The sequence below is a fragment of the Homo sapiens genome, chromosome 8, assembly GCF_000001405.40.
Source record: "Homo sapiens chromosome 8, GRCh38.p14 Primary Assembly".
Lineage (NCBI taxonomy): Eukaryota > Metazoa > Chordata > Mammalia > Primates > Hominidae > Homo > Homo sapiens.
Window position 1 is genome coordinate 60,249,146 of NC_000008.11, and position 21,893 is coordinate 60,271,038.

General features: G+C 39.5%; 1 protein-coding gene across 5 annotated transcripts in view; it reads right to left on the reverse strand.

The window, feature by feature from the left end:
• Positions 1-21,893, reverse strand: part of CA8 (carbonic anhydrase 8) — a 95,989-nt gene that overhangs the window by 63,734 nt on the left and 10,362 nt on the right. For all 5 annotated transcript variants that reach the window (NR_135821.2, NM_001321839.2, NM_004056.6 and 2 more), the window contains exon 3: positions 16,780-16,904. Coding sequence is in view for 4 of the 5 variants with exons in the window: in NM_001321839.2 (NP_001308768.1) it covers positions 16,780-16,904 (125 nt within the window). In the remaining variant the exon portion in view is untranslated. The remainder of the gene's footprint in view (positions 1-16,779; positions 16,905-21,893) is intronic.

The following is a 21,893-nucleotide window of genomic DNA, read 5'->3' on the forward strand; positions in this document are numbered from 1 at the left end:
TACATTTAACCATTAATTTGTGAGGATCTGATGCTTAGAGGTAACGTAGCCATCTGGCAATCATGAGTAAACAAAGCAAAGAGGAAAAGCTAAAATGCTGAAATAGCTTAGCAGAAAAACAGAAAGAAATTGGCCTGTGGAAATATGGCTGAGTGGCCACATAAACCGACAGTGGCACCACCCTTCAGGAGTTCCTATAATGTGAGAGGAAATATTTCCTACTATTTCTTAGTGGTGTCTTCCATTGTTTACCTAAAACCAATGCACTCATACGATGGAGAAATACGATACTGAGCAAAAACACTCCACTGGGTACTTATATCAAATCCTTTAGATGTATGCATAGCAAACACAAATAAAATAAAATTTTCATTGTGTATTTTCACTACAATCCAAATGTTGGCTTCTGACAGAAAAGTAATATTTCTTAAAAATAAAATTGTGTCTAACGATAAATAAATTGAGCTTTTTGCTCTGATCTAGAGCTTTTTGCTCTGATCTAGAAATTTTTCACACAAAAAAACTAAAAGGTATTTTCTGTATCATCATTTTACAGTATCCCCAAAAATAAAGACATGAAGAATATAAACCAACTATGAATGATCATAAAATGTATTATCAGCTAAAGCAATTTTAAGAGTCTAAACCTAATCCCAAATCTCTTATTTTCACATCAATATTTCCTAATAATCAAGCAGTAGATCTTATTATTAGTAGTTTATTATTGTGAGTAGCTTAATAAGTTTCAAGAATGGATTGATTACTGATGTGGATAAGGACAACATATGCTACTATTTTAGCGACAATCATAATACGCAAAGTGGGAGCATATAATAGCCATTACCTAGCATCAGAAATATAATATCCCTTTGGTGAAGTACTGCATGATTAGACTTGCTCAGAAACATTACATATTCCTATAATACCAATAAGCATTGGTGATAGGATACCAAATTAAAACAGCAACCGTTACCCCATGACATTGGATAAAGAACAGATACTGTGTGTTCTTATATTAACTCATTTACTTAGAGCTAGACTATTTTTAAATAGATAAATAAGTAAATATCAGCTGCTGCAATAAATCTCATTCTCTGACCTCTCTTCTGAGTTACAGATACACTTTTCCAGCCCTTTCCTGGGCATTTCCACAGAATAAATGGCAACTGTCAAATTCAAAACATATCAAATTACATACCACAGTTTTCCAACAAAATAGTCCCCGTTTCTGACAATCCTTAGGAGCTCTGCCATCCTTTCAGTTACCAAGACTCAAATCTTAGAGGAACCAAAAGCTCCTCTTTTCCCTGATCTCCAAACAATCAAAGCTCGGTAAGCTCTCCACATTCTTCTTTCCCCACACTGGTTCTAACACCCGTTCTTTTTCCTTTTGTCAAGGCCATCATCCCATTTCACGTCATCTGAATGTCAGATCTGATTTTTAGCCATGATTTCCTAAAGGGCATCACTTCTTATGACCAAAGTAATTGGTTACATTTCACTTCATTAGAAGGAAAAGTTTGTAAGGGAAGTGATTTCCGCATATCTTTTCACTAATGTGTTATCCTAATACCTAAAACTGCCTAGAGCATACACAGAAGACATTCAATAAATATTTAGTGAATAAAATAAATTTCATAACTGTGTAATGTTGAACAGTGATGCTCCACTGCTCTTGGTCAAATAACATATATACATCACACATCTGACCAACTCCATTCAAGAGCTTCCATTCTTTGTCCCCAACCTACCATTCTAAATTTATCTTAACTAATTTCTAGATCCTCCAAATCCAGCCAAAATAGACTATTATAAAACAGTTATATTTAATTTTATACATATATGGTATACATGTAATAATAGCTATATATATATTTATATGCCATTAAATTACTACAAAATGCTATGGAGAAAAACAAATTAGAGAAGGTGGACACAGGTTCCAAGTAGATTAAGGAAAGTTTAGGTTGGCCTCACAGATTATCTGGCATTTGAACACAGATTCAAAGATGCTAAAGAAGTAAGCCATGTGGCTATCTGGGGGCAAGGTGGGAGGAGGAAATCCTCTAGACACAGGACATAGCAAAGGCAAAGTCCCCTAGGTGGGAGAAGGACGTCTCTGTCCTCTTTACATCCTCAACACCTGTCACTATGCCTAGAACCTTCTCATCTACTCTTTTGCCCATCTTATGTATAGCCCACTATATGCCAGGAACTAAAATTCTATTAAAAGTCAAGCCAAACTTTCAAATATAAAATTCCTAGAATTTAGCTTTGAGTTTAATTACATAAAAACCTCAACCACTCACGCATTCAGCGTGACCATATTTGACCTTGAAAACTTTCTCCCAATTCCCTTTCCCTCCCGACACTGCCATGTCATTTAACAACATACGGGTCTCCTGAGCCTCATGCTCAAAATCGCAGTTCATGCATAACACTATGTACATGCTCACTGAATATTATTCTGAAAAATAACATCGTATTTGGTCAGCCCAATTTCATACCTCCTATCTTTGTCCATACCCCAAATAAGAAGGTTAGAAGAGAAGGCCAAAGTCATCTGCCATTCTTTCAAATCTTTGCCCAACTCCCTGCTGCCTGCCATAAAACTCAAAATTTATTCAATAATGCATTCAAAATGCTTCTGAAATTAGAGTAGGGCAATCAAGTATAATTTTTCCTACAAAGAAGGCTCAAATTTAAATGTGCTCAAGAAACAAAAGTCTAGTTGTCCCAAGGCTTTTTAGCTCCCTTCATATCAGTAATGCCAGTAGGACAAATCCTAATAATCTAAAATAGAATTATGTAGTGCTTACACAATACTGGCTTTCACATCAATAAGTTAAGTCTCTATTAAAATTTAGATATGGGTAAATGTAAAATATCCATGTAATTTGATGCATCTTCATTTGTGGGTTTCATACTCAATATTCCTTATCTTTATATTCTATTTTAAAAAATTTATAAAGATATAGAAAGTTATAAGAGCCCCCAGGTGCACTGATGGGATATGTACATCTACACTGAAAAACAGCATGAACAATAAGAAGGGTGTGACAGAAAGGGAGAGATTTCAGGACCATCAATTGACAACAGCAAGCTGTGGTGATTCCAAGGAGTGTAGATATCAAGAAAAAGTCCCTCAAAAAGACACCCCCAAAAGGGGAGGTTCTGCTGGTGTTGCCTCGGAAACTCAGGCAGAGGCATATAGTACCCTGTGAATATCAATACGTTAAGACCATCGGACTTTAAATGGGGATAGAAATTCCAAAGCTGAATCCTTTCCCTTGAGAATACAAAGCAATTCCAATTAGCAATAAGTAAATGCTAAAATCTACTAATCCTTAGTTAAATTCACTCTTCTGTTGTGGGGAGGGAGATCAGCACTGTTCTGAGTAGGACTCAAATTATACAAAGCATAGTATAGCTTCAAACATTTTAATCTCCTCACCCTACCTAGAGCTAAGGATATATTTATAACTTTTCAAGGAACCGCAACCCCAACTACTACAGGTTGAGCATCCCAAATCCAAAAATCTCTACTCCAAAATATTCCAGTGAGCATTTCTTTTGAGTATCATGTTGGCACTAAAAAGTTTCAGATTTGGGAGCTTCTAGAGTTCAGATTTTCACATTTGGGATGCTGAACTAGTGAATATATGAATATATTACAAATATTCCAAACTGTGAAAAAAATTCAAAATCCAAAATACTTCTGGTCCCAAGCATTCCAGATAGGGCTACTCAACCTATATTGTTCTTTAACTAATTTGAAACTGAATGGAATTAAAAGCAACATGGCTCAGGGTGGTGGTTCACACCTGTAATCCCAGCACTTCGGGAGGCTGAGGCAGGCAGACCACTTGAGGTCAGGAGTTCAAGACCAGCCTGGGCAACATGGAAAAACCCCGTCTCTACACCAAAATAAAAAAAAAAATTAGCCATGCATAGTGGCACGCACTTATAGTCCCAGCTACTCAGGAGACTGAGGTGGGAGGATGGCTTGAGCCCAACAGGTGGAGGCTGCAGTGAGCCAAGATCACTTCACTGCACTCCAGTCTGAGTGACAGAGTAAGACCCTATCTCAAAAAAATAAATAAAAATAAAAACAATATGGATAGTAGTGAAAGTGACACTATTGTTAAAATAGTTAAAATTCATCAGCTTCCTTCATAATGGTACCTCACTTTCCAACTCCCTTTTTTTTCTATTAAGTGTACCACGATTATTCCAATAATTTCATTCCAATAATATTCCATTTCTCAAGTTTCATTTCTCAGCATCCTTTTGGCTTTTTCTGAACACTCCTCAAGCCGACTCCATTTATCCTCAACTGCATCTCTCACACCACCTCTTCTTTTGCCATCCACATCTTTTTTTCCCATTCACATTCCACCACCCTAGTCCACTCGCTGACATCATCTACCTGCTTAAAAGTGCTAGTAGTTCTCGGTTGCCTCATCAAGGTAGCATCTCATTCTCAGGAAGGAGTTAGGCCCTCCTCAACTTGACTCCAGGACCCTCTGGGGTTACCTCTCGTGCCCCTTCCCACACAGCATGAGGAGACCAGCATTTCTGCCCTGCCTCATGCTACTTTCCCATCCTGAAATGGTCTCCCCAGCCTTGTTTACCCAGCGAACTCCTACTCAGTCATCAAGGCCCAGCTCCAACAGCCATTCCCTTCTAGAGTATTCTCTGAGCCCAGTAAAAATCAGTTACTCTCTGATCTGTGTTCTTTATATCCCATTCCCTAGGGCTTTTTTCATATATAGTAGCCACAGTAGCTTTTGAATAGGCCTGCCACACCATGGGAATGTGAACTGTGGCCTAGATTATCTCTCACGGTCATACCCTCAGCACCAGCCACAGTGGCAAACACACAGCAGTGGCTTCCTGAGTGTGTTTTGAACTGATTTACATTGTCACTTAACCCTTTAATCGTTATCTTTTCACATGTTTCTGTCTTACTTCCACCTCTTTAAACCAGACTGTAGAATCATTAAACACAAATGTTGTTTTTTTACATTCTATATTTATCACAGGGTTTGGCTTTAAACATAGACACTTAAAACTTGTTTGCTGAATGGTATATGCCACTCTACCATCTCCCTCCCTAACAGACTCAAAACTCAGTAAACAGCCTGTGGAAGAGAAAGAGCAACCACAGAACATCCCATTGCAGCTCAGCTGAGGAGAAGGTGACAGACCATGGCCAACGGTACAGCCTTGATTCCACTATGACCCACACCACTGCCTGTATGTAGACCCCTTTAATATAGTCAGTCTCTAGATCAGTTAGAATAGAAAACAGCAAGATTGGGAACACAGTTAAACAAACCACGTCAGCGCTGGTAAGTTAATTAGGAACAATGCCCACTGATAAAAATCTGTAATATTTGTTCTCCGCAACAAGTTGGATAAGTGATATTTGTTTTTAAAAATCACTGCAAAATATTTCCAGTGCTGTACAACACAAATTTGAAAGAGGATTAGTGAGTTAAGCCCTGGACCAGGGTCACAGTCTTTGAAAAGTGAATCATCCATAAACCACCCTTAGTTATATCCATGGTTCAAATGGTGATCAGCTCAGGCCAAGATGGTAAATTGCACAAAAACCCACCCAAGTAAATTAGAAAAGAAAAAACAAATAAGCAAGCCCTGGATGATTCAAAATCCCTGTTTACCAAACCCTACTGCTAAATTATTTTAGAAAGTAGAAAACTATGTTACTCTTAGATAACAATGGAGCAAACAAAAAGGGATGTACAAAATCCCAGACGGCTAAAATGAACAAACCTGTAGTGAAAGGAAACAACGTTTCCTTTACTGATTCCCAGAGCTTTGTCCTCTTGCTAGCGTCCAGTGCCAGTGAGCTTTAAAGGGTAAGTGGGGAATTTGAGAGAGTCATCAATCTTACTAATGGGACCGCTGCTTCCCTATTCCTGGTTTCTGTAAGGAGGGGTTTTCCCTGAACAAAGCTGGCTTTCCTCTCTGCTCCTTCAACCAACTCCTCCTCCTGTATTCTGTTTCAACTGTTGTGAAATCTGAGCTACTCTTAGGGAGCAGACTCATAAATCCTACCTGGAACACCCCCAGCCCCCCACCGCCCTACCTTTCCCGCCCCCGCCTAATTCTGGACAGACACTCTTCTCTCGAATTAAGCTATGTCTCCAGTATCGTTCTGGCCACAATAGAGGTGATGTTTTGTTCTCCATCTGATGACTCTAAGAGTACCTTCTTTCCTAATTTGTTCAGAACTCAGGCTAGGGAGAAGGGATCTCTTTATTGGATCTCCTCTGAGAACTCACCAATTTATAGTTCCCAAGGAATATTCCTGGAAAATGCATTAACTCTGGAGCCAAATAAACTGGTTCCACTGAATAAACTCTCATCCAGAGGTTTAAGTGATTCATTAAGCTGAGTTTAGAGAATTTACTTGCCTTTGGGTTCCCAAGTGAAGACATTAATTGATGAAAAAGGGTCTACCTTTCATTTGTCAGGTCTTAGAATAAATGTCTTCCTTCTGTACTTAATGCTTATATTTCAACAACTTAAACTCAGGTTCTTCTATTCATTTCAGGTTTCTTAAAGAACAAAACTATACTGCCCTATGGTACAACATTTACATCCAATATACCTAATACTGCTCTTAAAATGTTTTTAGAAAGCACTTCAAGTGAATATCAGCTTTTGTTTAACAACATTTTCCACCATTACATGAGAAACTCAGTGCAAGGTGCTTCCAACATTACGCTATTAATTTTTTTTTTTTTTTTTGAAACAGAGTTTCGTTATTGTTGCCCAGGCTGGAGTGCAATGATGCGATCTCAGGCCACTACAACCTCCGCCTCCCGGGTTCAAGCGATTCTCCTGTCTCAGCTTCCGTAGTAGCTGGGATTAAGGCACGTGCCTATATGCCCGGCTAATTTTTTGTATCTTTTAGTAGAGATGGTGTTTCACCATGTTGGTCAGGCTGGTTTTGAACTCCTGACCTCAGGTGATCCGCCCACCTCAGCCTCCCAAAATGCTAGGATTACAGGCATGAGCCGCCACACTCGGCCTAAACGGTTAATTTTTATAGTCTCTTCCTGAGTTGTATAAGGGTAGGTAGAATTTTAATATCCTTATGTACTAATGAAGGAATTGAGGTTAAACAGTCAGAAAACAAATGTCATTGTGAACTGCAAGCAAAATGCCACTCTCCCTGACTAAGAATTTACATTGCCAGAGTAGGCTGTTGCCTAGGGAACCATGTCAGAAAAAGGTCCAGCATCTCAGAGGACTCACGGTATGTTGTTCTAGGCTTCTGTCACGAATTTTTGGTGTGTAGAACCCTACAAAGCTAAAAGAGAAAATGTATTCAAGCACAGCAAAGCAGTAGCAAGGGCGCAAATATCTTACTAACATCCCTGTGCCATTTTAAGCTGTCAATCTTAAATACCAGAAAAAAACAAAAAAAAGCAAAACATATGGTTTTTACACAGGTTAAAAACTTACAGAGTTAAAATCTCCTATCATCATTTGACTCAATTAGAAGTTTTATCATAGTATTGCCCAATTATCTTTCTCAAGGCAATATTTATTTTCCTTGCAAAATACAGTGATAAAACAAATTTTACTGTATATGCATGCATAATCATCATAATAAAAAGGTGTGTCAGGAAAAATGACCTGGAAATGTCATATTGATTAGACTTATAAAAATACAATATATTCGACTAAACAGGGAAGAAGTTTTAAAGAAAAAAGAAGACTTTACATTATTTTCTCCATTCATACTCTCTGCATTTCTTATTTATAGTAACAAAACGTTTTTTGTTTTATTTGTTTATTTTTAATTTTTTTTTTGAGACACAGAGTCTTGCTCTGTCACCCAGGCTGGAGTGCAGTGGTGCAATCTCTGCTCACTGCAACCTCCACTTCCTAGGTTCAAGCGATATCGTGCCTTAGTCTCCGGTAGCTGGGACTACAGGGGCCTGCCACCATGCCCAGCTGATTTTTGTATCTTCAGTAGAAACAGGATTTTGCCATTTTGGCCAGGCTGCTCTCGAACTCCTAACCTCAGGTGATCTGCCTGCCTCAGCCTCCCAAAGTGCTGGGATTAAAAGCGTGAGCCACTGGCGCCCAATCCAAAAAGCTTTTTGCATCCCCCTCAGGATGTTTTGACAAGATTTTTATCCTCACAATCCCAATCCCACCTTTGATGTTCCCCATCTCCTCCTAAAAACAGGAAACACAGCAGGGTTTACTCTTCGCTGACCTCTGAGCTAATGTCTAGCCCTTTTTCATAGATAAGTTTTATAGGCAGGTTGGAAGAGGTTTACTAGCTTGCCTGAGATTGCAGAGGTTAGATGTAAATCTAGGTTTTTTTCAACTTTGGGCCCTAAATTCACCAACTACATCATTCAGACTTCCTCCCACACTGCCAGAGTCCTCAGGGAGGATGTCACAGGGGTCCCAGGTTCTCTAGCGTCTCTTCAGAACCTACACCTTTCTTAACTCTTCCCCATCAAGAAAATTTTCCTACCCTGTGTCTGATTCTCATTTTGTTGGGTTACTTAAGTTAGTCTAGCCTACAGTGACCCGTGACTGGTTATATCTAGCACAATGTCTTCCACATAGTAGTTGATAAATATTTTGTGTGGTTGACAGTCATTCACATCTCAAACAATGTATTTGCATTCTAAGAAATGTCTTCAAAATCTTCCTCTAATTAGCTTCTGATGACCTGAATCTGCATACTGCACAGGCAGGTTAGGTGAGTGAGGTCTTTTCAATGTTACAGTAACACAGTTTTGCTTTCCGTGGTTTCAGTTAACTCTGGTCCAAAAATATTAAATGGAAAATTGCAGAAATAAACAGTTCATATGTTTTAAATTCTGAGTAGTGTGATGAAATCGCACGCCATGCTGCTACATCTCGCCCAGAGCATGAATCCTTCCTCTCTCCAGCGTCTCCACACTGTACACGCTCCCTGCCCATCAGCCACTTAAGAGTCTTCTCAGAGATCAGATTCACTGTCATGGTACCACGGCAGTGCTCATGTTTAAGTAACCCTTATTTTACTAAATAACAGTCCTAAAGTGTAGAAGTAGTGATGTTGGCATATTGTTATAATTGTTCTGTTTTAGTATTGGTTCTCGTTAATCTCTTACTGTGCCTAATACATAAATTAAACTTTATCACAGATACATTTGTATAGGAAAAAACGAACTATTAATATATATAGGTTTGTTACTAGCTACAGTTTTAAGCACCTACTGGGAGTCTAGAAATGTATCCTCCACAGTTAAGGGGGTACTACTGTATCTTCTAAAGCAGCAGTGCCCAACCTTTTTGGCATCAGGGACCAGTTTCATGGAAGACAATTTTTCCACAGACAGGGGGCAGGGGATGGTTTCAGGATGATTCAAGTGCATTACATTTATTGTGCACTTTATTTCTATTATTATTACATTGTAATATATAAGGAAATAATTATACAACTCACCATAATGTAGAATCAGTGAGAGCCCTGAGCTTGTTTTCCTGCAACTGGATGGTCCCATCTAGGGGTGATGGGAGACAGTAACAGATCATCAGGCATTAAATTCTCATCAGGAGTGTGCAACGTAGATCCCTCACATGCGCAGTTCACAATAGGGTTCATGCTCCTATGAAAATTTAATGCCACCGCTGATCCAACAGGAGGCGGACTCAGGAGGTAATGCTCACTGGCCCACCACTCACCTTGTGCTGTGCAGCCAGGTTCCTAACAGGCCAGGTACCAGTCCATGGCCCAGGACTTCAGGACCCCTGTTCTAAATACTCGCCCATTTAGAAAAAAAGTGAGTAGGAGAAAAATCACAAATTGCATTCGAACTCCCCCACTGCATGAAAAACTCCCTGAGTTGTCTATTGTACTCATAGCTGTCTCCTTAGCACTTAGTCCAGGGCCTAAATATGAAATACTTTGGATGGATGGATGGGTGGACGGACAGACAAATAAAAGAATGAATACATGGATATGAGTTATTTAGATGGCCACCCAGTTATGGACTATATATTCAAATCAGAGGCTATTTATTATCTGAAAATATATTGACAGAAAATGTATTTTACTGCAGAATTTAGATCTGTCAGAACCCAATTGAAAATATTTTCTACTGCAGTATCTATAACCTTACCCATACATTAATTACATATTATAGGAACTAATTTTCAGTTTTTCTACAAATCTGCCTTCTATCATAAAATCAGCTATAATATAAATGCTTTTTTGCAAATTTAGTTTGCCAAAACAACCTTTTGTATATCCTCAAACAATGGCAAAGAATGAACTACTAAAAGAAATACTAACAAATATAAAATCAAAGGTAGCTTCAAAGTGGCTTCTCAAAGGTCAAGTTGGCCTTATTCACTTCTGAGAGGGAATACAGCTAAAAGAACATTTCTGTTTGTTCAACATTGTAATTTATTTTCTACTCAGTAAACTGTGAGGTTTCTGCATGAAATGTAAAAATAAATATGCTGAATCAAAGCAGAAACCATGATTTTTATGAAGTAAAAATGCAAGTGTTCATTAGAATTCAGGAAACATAAAATTTGTTTGCTTTTTTTTTTTTTTGCCAAGATGTGAGAGGGAGATTCTGCAATCATGACTTCTGGAGAGGCCACTGCACAAGGCTCTAACGCCTTCATCTGTTTATACACAGGCTCAATCTGCTAGCTCTATAGGAGATTCCAGGATACCAAATAATCATCATCATAATAATTATTACATTTAGAGACAAGTTGTTCCTTTTTTCTGGTCAAAATAATGAGACTTTCCAGAAGAGCTGAACATTCAAATTTCAAATCATTTCCTTTAGTGTCAGTCCTAACTCCTCTTAATACAAACCTTTCTTTTTACTCCCAAAGCAACCTCAATCCAAAGTATTAACTAGAGCTGCAAATAAAATTTCAAACTAGAGTTGATTTTCCTGATAATAATTGTCTGTGGAAGGTGAAAAAAAGCACTGCCTAGAGCAGAAGTCAGTTCATGGGCCATTTCTGAGGTTGTGGCCCTGAGCTAACCTCCCTCCTCCCCAGACCGCAGTAAGCATCTCTGTAAAGTGGGCAGGAGTAGGCTATCTACTAAATCCACCACCCCTTCGACCCCATTCTTGGAGGTAGCAGGGATTCCAACTTTGCAACACACACCCCTCCTCTGCTGTCACAAAGCCACTCTAACTTCACAGCCTGTAAGGCAGGGGCAGGGTGCCACAGCCTCACTACCACCCTCCTGTGGAAGGTGAAAGCAGTCCCCTTCTGAATGTGGGGTGCTTACAGACATCAAAACTCCTTATATCATTAGGGGGTGCAAGGACAAAGCCCATTGTGTTGTCTCTCTGCAACTAAACCATAAGCAAAAAGAGCACCATAGAGGATAATCCTTAAATGAAATATTTAATTAACCAGATGATACTCTTCTTCATCCAGGCCATACATATGGTTTCCTATAAATGATCCTGTGCAATTTGACCTTTTGAACTCTTAGATTTCTTCTTTGCTAGATAGGAGTTTGGACTAGATGATCTTGAAAGTTCCTTTTAAATCTATATTTCTTTAGTGATATATCTTGTATCTAATCTTCAGAATGTTCACTCTCAAACTAAAGTCATCCCATTACATCTCCTTGGAAAATCAATGGAAATCCCTTATTTTAGAAGAGGTTCAACAAACATGAAGTGCTATTTGAGATGTTCCTGAAAGTTAAATAACTTGAAAGGTTATAATTTCACTATTAACCAGGCAAACTCTTCCTGGGATCTCCTTAGAATAGTAAAATACATGAATAAAAATAAATCTTTCTGGGAGGTGAACATGCAAATGACTTGGGGAGCAGCAATCTTAAAGACCATTCACTTTTACTAAGAGAACACTAAATACTAGATGCTACCATGTGCCGCCTGGAAAGAGAAGAAGAAATGTGGGATATCTGGCGACCTGGCACAGGGGCCAAATATAGTTTAAGGATTAGCAATATATTACGAGATAAAGTCTTCAGAATATTTTTGTTGGCCTATTTTGCAACCAAGGCCTGGACTCTTCACAATTAAAGCATCTTGCCCTGTACAATGAATTTTTTTTCTATTTACCTAATGCACCCAACTTTCCATCAACAGCTGGTATGTGGCACAATCATCACTAAGTCCTTTCAGAGTACACAGAGCAACAGATGCTCTTTAAATACAATATAAAGAAAGATAAGGGTCCAACATACAATATGGCTAGACCTCCTTTTTGGCAATTCACTCTTCAATCATAGCTTTTAGGCCCAGAAGGCAAGAAAGTCAGGTTCCCCATACATGATCTCCTGCTAGTCTGTGGGCAGGATCAGTGCCTATCCCTGACAAAATTATCATTCATCTGTAGTGATGCAAGAAAAATTTAAATAATATACATTTTTAAAAACCTAAATCTATCCAATTTATGAGTCCATGCCTTATTTTGAGATCACATCCTTCCTACATTTGGCTATTAAAGATCCTCTCTTTATAAAATGATGAAGACAGCAGAGAGTAATGTTCTTAACTGGAAAAATTAAAACTTGACACACTGTTGGTCTCCCCATCACTTTCGCCCAGGCTGGAGTGCAGTGGCGTGATGGTGGCTCACTGCAAGCTCCGCCTCCCGGGTTCACGCCATTCTCCTGCCTCGGCCTCCCAAGTAGCTGGGACTACAGGCGCCCGTCACCACACCCGGCTAATTTTTGCATTTTTAGTAGAGACGGGGTTCCACCATATTAGCCAGGATGGTCTCAATCTCCTGACCTCATGATCCGCCCGCCTCGGCCTCCCAAAGTGCTGGGATTACAGGTGTGAGCCACTGTGCCCAGCCCCACTTTTTTGTAAATTGCACTGATCCAGAAAAATCTAAATGCCTGAGAAGCTCTCTTCCCTGGAATTATGAGAGTAGCTATTCGTGTATAAAAATTCATCCTAATTTACCAAAAATTACACAGTCCACAGAGTTAGGCTACTTTGAAGCAGCAAAGATGGCAGTGTCCACAAATGACACACATAGAATATACAGCCTGAATGCAGAATGTGAACCTGTGAGCCTAAATACCCAAGAGCCTTAAATCTGAAGTTAATGTGAAGGGAATAAACAGTTCCAGTGGAATGGTGAATGCATAGAGTGTACTAGTGTGTTAGCAAAATGGCAAAAAAAAAAAAAAAAAAATCATATAGCATTAAAGTTAGACTTCACAAGCTAAGACATCCAACAAAGTTCAAAGAAAATAAGGAGCTTTCCACAGCCACCAGAACAAACACACAAGAATTAATTTTAGTTGAACTCAAACTTGTCTTAAATCAATAATCTTCTACTCACATTAATGTCTTGACTGAATATCACAATGCAAAACACCCACACATTATGGAAAAGGATTCCAGCTGGTGCTGGGTGCAGTGGCACACAAATATAGTCCCAGCTACTCAGGAAGCTGAGGCAGGAGGGTCCCTTGAGACCAGCTCAAATGTACTCTGGGCAACATAGTGAGACCCTTTCAGGTAACAGGAGGAAAAATGTAGCATGATTATATCGTTCTCTTGCTAAGGCACTGTCATTTAAGCATAAACCTGGAGTATTCACAATAGAATTCAGATTTACCAGATGAGAGCATGATAAGCAGTGTGTCAGATGGCTGTGGAAAGATGTGTGTTTCTGAAACCTACAGGTATCAAGAAGGAAAAACACAAATACATCTTGCTTAGTGTAGAGCAGCAGTTTAAACCATTTAAAGTCCCAAATTGTGTTAAGTTTTGAAACCATGTCAGTGCTGACTACTGGGAGTATCAAAAATCTCTTTAGGGCTGTTGTTATATTTATAATTTCTAAAAGGTGAGGGAAGACAGCTCGATGGATTTCTATTAAAAGCTGTTCCTGGCCAGGCACGGTGGCTCACGCCTGTAATCCCAGCAATTTGGAAGGCTGAGACGGGCAGATAACCTGAGGTCAGGAGTTCGAGACCAGCCTGGTCAACATGGTGAACTACAAAATTTAGCCTGGTGTGCTGGCATGCACCTATTATCCCAGCTACCATGGAGGCTGAGGCACATAATCACCTGAAACTGGGAGGCGGAAGCTGCAGAGAGCCGAGACTGTGCCACTGCACTCTAGCCTGGGCGACAGGGCAAGACTCCATCTTAAAAAAAAAAAAAAAAAAGGTAATTCCTGTGTGTTCCATGTAACAGACAGAGTAAGTATTTGCTTATAGTGTCTGTCTGTCTAACAAGCCAGCCATTTAATTTTCAATGAAATCAACAAAAAAGAAAAAGGTGCATGGATGTGTGATTTTGAGAAAAAAAAAAAGTCAGTCTTAAAATGTAAGTAAAATATGGAACATGACCTCAAAAAAAACAAAAAACAAAAAACACTGGAAAAAAAACCATGTTCCCAAAAGGGTACCTGGTCTTACTCTACACTGTGCTGCTGGCCATGCCCCTGTGCTTGAGGTGGCCCTTGGTGGCAGTTCAGAACCAGGGGACCTGTAGTCCCCTGTATGAGCCAACTCGTCCCCAGTCCCAGGATGTTCTTCCACATGGAAACCCTCTCTCCTCTCTTTCACCATACCACAAGAGCCCTCTCCTCCTCAGAACCCACCTCAGTTTTCATAGTCTCCACAAAAATATATCAATAAACAATCCTGGCTTGCAGAGATCTCCTTCTAGTTCTGCATAACCACAGCATTTATGCACTCAACAGGATAGAGCACTAAGTGAACACTGGATGACTGATACAAGTATTTTCTCTGGAATTGGATCAGGGATAATCTGGGATAAAAAAGAATATAAATATTATTCACCACATATTTTGGAAAAATCATAGTCAGCAATTCCATTATCCTAAATACAAATATTTCTGCAGAAACAAAGCCTCACTACCAGGATTTAATCTTCATTCAAAACAAACCATTACCTGTGCTTAATGGACCGGAGCTGCTGAAACGTCACCAAGTAACCAGACCAGTCTGGACATTCGGTCCGGAAATGCTATCTCAGTACAGAGCAAAGAGCACAGCTCGCTAATTACGTTTCCTACAGCTTTTAAGTTCTGCATGTCACAAGCAAAGCCATGGAATTCTCATCCAGAAGTTCTCGCCTCCCCATTTACAGCTACCTTTCCCTAGAACTTTTGTTACTAGAGTCTGTCTTTGGGGGCTGAGATGAAATGATGAAATGGCCTTTCAAACCCAAAGAGGGAGGCAGGGCAAAGGCGCTGACAGTCCAGGGTGGTCCTGCCCCTCACTTTGTGACCCGCGACCCAGTGGGGTTAACTGTCTTGGATTATTTTGTGTCTTCTTTCCTTTTTGATGCATTCTGGTATGAATTTTTCCTTGTCAGGTTGGCTGAGGATGGGACAGGAGAGAGAGGTGACACAGAAGTGTCACAGGCAGTAGAAAGGAGAGGATGTCTATAGGCACTGAGCAAACAGCTCCTAGACAGGTAAGCTCTGGGGGCCTTCCCCATCAAGGCCTTTGAGAAAGTGCTTCTCCTTACTGTCCACACCACTGCACACCTCCTCCACTCTTCAACATGCTGGTTTGGTTTTCTTCTCTCCAGCCTTAAAACATGAACATTTCACTTCTAAGGTTCACGTCTTTTATTTTTAATGAAAGAGATATCCTGAGCTTCCAGAGATTTTTTTATTATAATTACAGTAATGCTGTCAAACACTTCAACAGAATACTCTAAAATACATGTATCACTGACATAGAATTATACAGCCATGATTTCCAGCCACTGAAGTGGTACTGGATATTGCATCTGGTCATGAGCAATTTTATATTTAATATTAAGCACATGCACAGTTGTGAATGTCAAAAAAAAAGACTGGAAGACCAGCAGCCCCCAGAACATACTCTTACATGACACCAAAGGGCTATTTTCTGGGGTAAACTGAGGTTCCTTCTAGAAATAACATCAAGACGTGGACTGAATCCAACATCCCCTCACTTTCACCAGTGTGAACTGTCTATCTCCACTGTGCCTGGCAGTGGGCAAATGATGGGAGTAAAAAGGGGGTGAGAGGGAGCTTCGGTCCTCAGGAGCTCACAGGCAGCAAGAAAGACGCTGTGGAGACTAAATGGTACAACCCATGGGGCCAGCGCCATGGCAGTGCCCTATCAAGCATACAGGGAGCAGAGAGAGAGAGATGAATTCTGCCTAGGGAAAAAACTAGAGAAAAGTCCCACAGAAGACATAAGATTTCAACTGCGTATCAAAGAAACAGCAGAAGTTAACTAAGAACGTAAGTCGGGGAGGGAATTCTTTGGACAAAAGAATCACTCTCAAAAAATCTCTCTTTCTCCCTCCCTCCCCAAGTGGCTTGGGGTGAATAAAACCAACCCACCAATTTTAAACTAGCAAACCTACACTTTTCATTACTGTTGAGGTTTCTCCAACGGTTGCTTGTCTTCAGCTCGTCACCTATCCAAAGCATCCACAAAAATGACCTACTGAATTTGCAGAGGCAGAATTTTTACAAGAATAGTAACACTAGGGTGAAATTTAATACTGTAGATTGCCTTTCTGGCCATGTGCTCATGCGCACACGCCAAGCCACGAGAGTAGACAGGAGGTTTCATGTGCTGCCCTAGGCTTCCATTGCATTAAGCATTTTTTAAATTTTAGTATAAACTGATAAAATTCAAGAGCTATGCATCTACTTTTAAACTAAATCATTTTCAGTAAATCGCTGAATACTTTATTCAGAAAACAAGATTTTTACAAGATGATTTGTTATTCTTACCTCCATGGGAAAAGCTTTGAAATTAACCGTGTGCTCAGAACCACGCTGGTTTTCTCTTCCCCAGTGAAATCTCACTTCGTACAGTTCAAATTCATGCCCTTGAGGCAATGGTCCTCCCGAAAGAACTGAAAAAGAAAATATATGTTACCGAATTACAGCACACATTTACCTCAGCATTATAAACATTAGAGACTTTTTTTTTTTCCACCAAAATGCTCTCATGGGCTCTACAGATTAAATTCACAAAGCCAAAATGAGAAATTTATCACAACTGTGAGGTGAATTTAAACTATCTAGGCTTGGCTGAAATTCTTGTATTGGCCATTCAGACACGGAAGTTCAAAACCTCTGAAAAACTCATAATGATATGCATATTTTAATTTCCTGTGTGTTTTCAGTCTAGAAGTAGACAAGAAAAACAAATTCCTCCCTTAGAGATTTAAGCTTAGCACTGATCAGGAGACAAAAATATGGTTTGACTCTCTGACTGACCAATAATATTCTGTAGACATCTAAATAAATTAAACCACGTTTGCAGATCATCCACTTGTACTAGAAGGCTTCCAATTTAGCGAACGGGTGTGTGGACTAACAAAATTATCCATGAAGAGGATTGATTAGCATTAAGTCAATCAATAATGAAATCACACTTTAATAGCTGATGGACATTCATTACCACAAACGACACAAAATAAAACTGCAATAAAATATTAACAATCCTCAAAATATTAACATCAGTCCCACAGGACCATGTCTCTATTTCTCATTGCTGGATATGATCAAGACCTTTATCCCCAACAAGAGCACACTAAAGGATAATGAAAAATACATTTGCATGAGAACCTGTCTTAAAACAATAAAATTATTTAGTTAAAAACTCCCTGACAGCATATGTACAAACTTGAAATAAAGTTTCCTACAAATAAATGGTCAATTTCAATACAAATAAAAGTTGTTTAACTCAGGGCATTTTTCCTCTAGCAACTCCCAATTCTGAACAGTATCAGCTAAGCATTTTAGGTTATTTAGCTAACAAAATTCAACACCTTCATCTTTCCTAGAAGCAGACTTTTTGAAACAGATTGTCCTTTTGGGTTGCCTTTGAGGAGGACATAACAGATTCCACACCTCTCTCGAGGAAGAGTTCTTTCATCCTTACCCAAAAACTCAAAGGAGAAGAAAGCAAATTGGTGCAACAATATTTACTTGTTTGGTTGGTTCTTCATCTAATGACTTGTTTCAAAAAGGATTTAAGGCTGCTTATGTCAAGGTACATATAATACAGTCAGACAGCATAAATTAGGAAGAAGAACAAGGGGAAGCCAAGAAAGAGGCAGAAAATAGATGGAGAAATGAGGCTATTAGACACAATGGAGGTCATGGAGTCCTTGATAAAGGTGCCCTACAAATCTACTCCCAAGCTTTCTACCAGCTCAAACAACGAAGACAAGGAACATCCAGAGCAAGAAGTAACTTTAATTTTTTGAGTGGATACACTTCACATCAACAGGAAAGGGAAGTGAGATTCATGGCCCTTAGGATCACACTGTCATGTATGATTTTAGATTTTAGTGTTTGTCCTCATGCTTGGTCTGATTTAGGTCACACAACAAATCCAAGGGGATAGTCTCATCATCAACTCCACAGACAGGGCAGAAAAGCGGGATGAAGAGGGGCTGAATGTGACCTGCCACAGTCAGCCTCCTAGCAGGCTCCAGGACAGGATCTGGAACTCAAATCTTCTGACCCACATCCCAGGGTTGAGGCAGGGATAGGGAAACCCAAATTTCAGTATCTGTGAGCATGAACTAAAAAACAATGAATTATCTAAGCCTAGATTTATAAAGTGAAGTTGCTCCTTGGAGAACTGCACTTCATCCTATTTCCCAGAACAATCTAAAAAACTTTTAATATATGGATCAGAAAGGTTTGTAGATATTCAGAACCACAGTGCAAGCTCACTTCACCTTCCTCTTCAATAAACATCCATTCTGTGGATTTAAGAATGTATGAAACGTTTCTAAACAACCTCACAACTCATTCCTTTCTCTTGGCTGTCCAAATTTGGTCTTAAGAAAAACCAGGAAGGAGACCAGGAGTCTACCCACTGTGTACCCCACCTCCCAAACCAAAATGAAAAAAGAGAAAGAGAAAATACACCCCTTGCCACCCCCAGCAACAGTGGGACCCAAGGCCTCAACAGGTGAGCTCTATAACTCCACTTCTAAAACAAAGTGATAAAACTGTCCTAGAAAAGGCTCAGCTCCACGTGGCTAAGGAAAAAGAAAGAGGAGTGTCATGAAATGAAGCACATGTGAAATGGGAAAGAGGATTCTTAAAACTCCTTCCCCAAAACCCCTTTATCACATACACTCAGAACACACACACACAAAGGCACACAGTATTTCTAAAACTGCTCTGTTACAAAGCAGCTTACTAGTTCTACTAGTAAACAGCAGTCTACTAAGTACTGTCATATGGAAATGAATGATACAGCTTGTAGCTGGTCTTGACAGTGATTTCAGGGAACCATAAAGAGATCCATGCTTCAAAAATATACTCCCCGCATGACCAATGCTCAAAACTTCCTTAACAGCAATGAACCCTTTCACTTAAACTTGGAGACGGTTTAAGTGAAACACTGTGGAAATTCAAACTGCACAGACCCATGTTTTGATAGGGAGAACTTCAAAATCCAGGGAAGTTTACTAATCCTTCCAACAGATATTGTTTTGATCATCTACTACCTTGTACCAGGTACTGTATTAAGTATTTAGAATACATTGATTTTGACAAAACAGACAAAATTCCCTGGCCTTGTAGATCTTACATTCTATTATCCTGAAGTGTAAATTCATATATTTATCAAGATCATATTTTTTCTGAGTCCTATCTGGTTACTACACAGGTTTATTAACTGTCATGTCATGACAGTCAATACAATTACAATAAAGTAATTATATTCTATGGTATGAAAGGAACACTGAGAAGGGAAGTGTTTTGCCCCAGCCTGGTTCTCCAGGGAGAGGTGACAAAGAGGTGGCTGTCAGCCAGGAACCAGGCTCTGGGTACCTTTCACTGTTGCTGCAGATGAATAATCCAAAATAAACCACACTAAAGTCATATAGCCATACAATGCCATAAAAAATGACAAAATTCTCAATTCAGAGTTTTACGAGGTGCCAGGTAAGAGCATTACCTGTTCATCCCCCAAGAATGATTGTGTTTATGGACTAAAAATAAATAGCAGCTTCTATTTTATCCATCTGGTAACCCTCTTCCAGCATTATTCTCCCTTTTTACTGCTTACATTTTTTTAAATAAAAAAACAAATCATCTCAGAAGGGGTAGCCTTTTCCTACATTTATGAAAATCAAATTTTGCTGAGTGATATTGGGTCACTACATGGCAGGTTTATTAGTTATGATGTCATCTGGTTCAATAAAGTTACAATGAAAGAACATGAAACTCCTACTGATGACAGGCTGAATTTTTTTAGAAAAGGAACTTGTGAAAAGAATATAAAATAAACTGATGCCATTGCCACAGCCTCCATTTTCTTTAATGCTCTTTAATACGCTTGGCAATTGCATTTATAAGACATAAACAAGAGCTCCCTGAGGAAGCTTTTGTAAGATCTGAAAACCCTATAAAGACATGATGTATATACATTTATCTAAATCTATCTAAGCTTCTACAATCCTTTGCTGAAAACAAATTTACCAGATAATTCAAAGGCTAGTGCTCAAGCCTTATTCCTTTTCATTTGACTTCAAAGCTAAGTTTTGAGATCAACTCGACACCTGGCCCTGTGCTGGCCACTGAGTGTATAAAGCGAGGAAGATCCAGCCTTGGTGTTGACTGGGCAGTCTCAGTGGTTAAAAAAGTAAACTGAATAGTCTAAATAGAACACATCAAGAGCAGGAAAGGGTAGCAGGAGGGCATCCAGCAACGGACAAGCCAATAACAAGCATGAATCATAAAGTCAGGTAAGATGTTCCCCAGAAGATACCAACTCAGCTGAGTCTTGAATAAGCTGAGAGGTGAAAAGTGCATGGAGAGTAGAGCGAAGAGCCTGAGAAATATTCTGAGACATGAAGCAGCTTAAGAGTGTTCTAGGAGAATAAAATCAAAAGTTAGCTACAGTCAAGGTGGGCATGAGGAGGAGACATGCAGCCTATGCTTACGAGCTGGGATTTCTCCTGTCCAGAACCATTGAGGGCTTTTAATCAGGGGACTAACATGATCATATCTGCAATTTAAAGTATTATTCGTGCAGTATCTGCACAGATGACAGAATAACAAAGGGTAAGCCTAACCAGTAAGAAAGCTGCTATCATGCCCAGTTACAGATGGTGAGGCCAGGAGATGAAGCCTGCAGAGCCACACCGTCAACACAGAGGAAACCCCACACCAGTGGGTCCCTGGTACACCACCCGAAGGATCCAAAGGATTCATTCTTATTTTATTTACTTACTTACCTACTTATTTATTTATATACGTCTTTTTGAGATGGAGTCTTGCTCTGTCATCCAGGCTGGAGTGCAGTGGTGTGATCTCGGCTCACTGCAACCTCCGCCTCCCAGGTTCAAGAGATTCTCCTGCCTCAGTCTCCCTAGTAGCAGAGATTATAGGTGTGCACCACCATGCCTGGCTAATTTTTGTATTTTTACTAGAGACGGGGTTTCACCATGTTGGCCAGACTGGTCTTCAACTCCTGACCTCAAGTGAGCCACCTGCCTTGGCCTCCCAAAGTGCGTAGATTACAGGCATGAGCCACCATGCCCAGCTCCAAAGGGTTCATTCTTAATGGATTTAAAGACTTTATAACCTCAAAGTAACTTTTAAGAAATTCCAATGTTATCTCTAAAACTTCCCCAAAATAGTATCATTTAGTTCTTTTTTTAACATTTGAGGCCTTAAAAGCAAAAATTTTTCAATATTTTTAAACTGTCTTTGGCTTTTAACCTATGGCTTTATTAAATATCTTCAGCTCTTAAGGGTAGAGATCATAACAATAGCACAGAGAGCAGGCCGGGCAAAGTGAAGCACATGCAAAATGATGCAGATGACAGGAACTAACCAGGTAATTCAAATGCACCAAAATTAGCCAA